The sequence below is a fragment of the Homo sapiens genome, chromosome 5, assembly GCF_000001405.40.
Source record: "Homo sapiens chromosome 5, GRCh38.p14 Primary Assembly".
Classification (NCBI taxonomy): domain Eukaryota; kingdom Metazoa; phylum Chordata; class Mammalia; order Primates; family Hominidae; genus Homo; species Homo sapiens.
This window is the reverse complement of record NC_000005.10, coordinates 119,829,344-119,830,789: the sequence shown is the minus strand read 5'-3', so window position 1 is coordinate 119,830,789 and position 1,446 is coordinate 119,829,344.

The following is a 1,446-nucleotide window of genomic DNA, read 5'->3' as shown; positions in this document are numbered from 1 at the left end:
TGACAAAGTTTTGAAATTTGCAGTAGTCATGGCCCCAAGTCAGCGGGTCTTATTGAAGTTTCTTTCTTTCCTATGCAGCATACTTAAAACTTGTTAATTTCATTTTCCCTTTGAGCCTAATTTTCTGCCCCCATTCCAGGATAGCAGTTGAGGGTGAGATCTGTCCAGGATGCAGGCCTGTTTCACAGGGACTATTGCTGCTTGCTCTGGAATGTCTTAGAGCATGAGACTTGCCTGCTAGGGAAGATTCCCCTCTCCCCAGTCTTGGTCTCTGCTGGAGAATCACCCTCTGCAGGCCCTTCTTTTCCTCAGCTTTCTAATGTTCTAGGCTTTGAGCAACATCTCTTTTTGCTTAATAGTTTTCTGCAACAGGAAAGGTCTCTAATGCTTTATTTCTGTCTGCTATTCTCTTATTCAAAGTAGGTTCACAATAGTTTACCTTGCTTCTTAAATGGATTACTTTCCTTCTCTACCTTAGGAATAACTATCCGTAAGACCTGAGTAGCTGCTTCTCTTTCTCTTTCTCGTTGTTTTTAAGCTCAGTTGTCTGTTTTCAATGACATAATTTTCTCCAGGTTTTGTCTGGTAGGGTACCCTATCTTGAGATCATTATAGTGAGTGAGTTCTGGTGCTGCCCAAAACATCCACTGTTTAAAAAAATATTTTCAACCTTCACCTCCTGGGTTGAATCATCTCAATCACTGTCTCGTCAGAGACAGGCTGAATTAGATGTATTATTTTCTTTCTTTTTCAATATATAGTAGCTCCTATCACTTCCCTTAAAGCCCTTATTTTATATTTCTTCTCCTTGAGAGAGAGACAATATCTTCCCACCCACTTACAACAGGTGTATCACCTTGCATCAGTACTTCTTTTAATGTAGGTTGCTATTTCAATCATTCTCTTTCACATCTGTCCAGATATTCTATAGCCGTGTGGTTAGTTCTCATTAAAGACTCCTTATCTACAACTTTAAGAGGAACATTTTCAAGAGTCTGTTAAGCCCACAATTTCATAGGTGACTCTAAAAAAACAAATTCTACCAAAATATGAAACATCTGTCTATAACTGTGTCTATAATAATGGTGTCTATAGACAAGTATATTTATAGACTAAGTAAAGTTTCTAAAAATCTTTCTCTTTTACAATGAAATTGAAAAGTGGATTAGCCTCAAGTAGAGTCAGTTATATCAATGGCTTTTATTTTTCTTCTAGATCCACATAATAGAAAGAGAAAACAGAACAAAACAAAGCCTGACATTGTCAGTCTGTCCCTAAAACTTCTCATTATTAGGTTTAGAATAAAGGTTACTCAAAAGTTCTTTTTAAAAAAAAAAAAAAAACTTGTTAGATCTGGGATTGCTCAACATAACAATTACACTACACTCTCTTTGACCCTGCTACTATGCTATAACCATGTTTTTCTATGCTCCATTTACCCTCCCT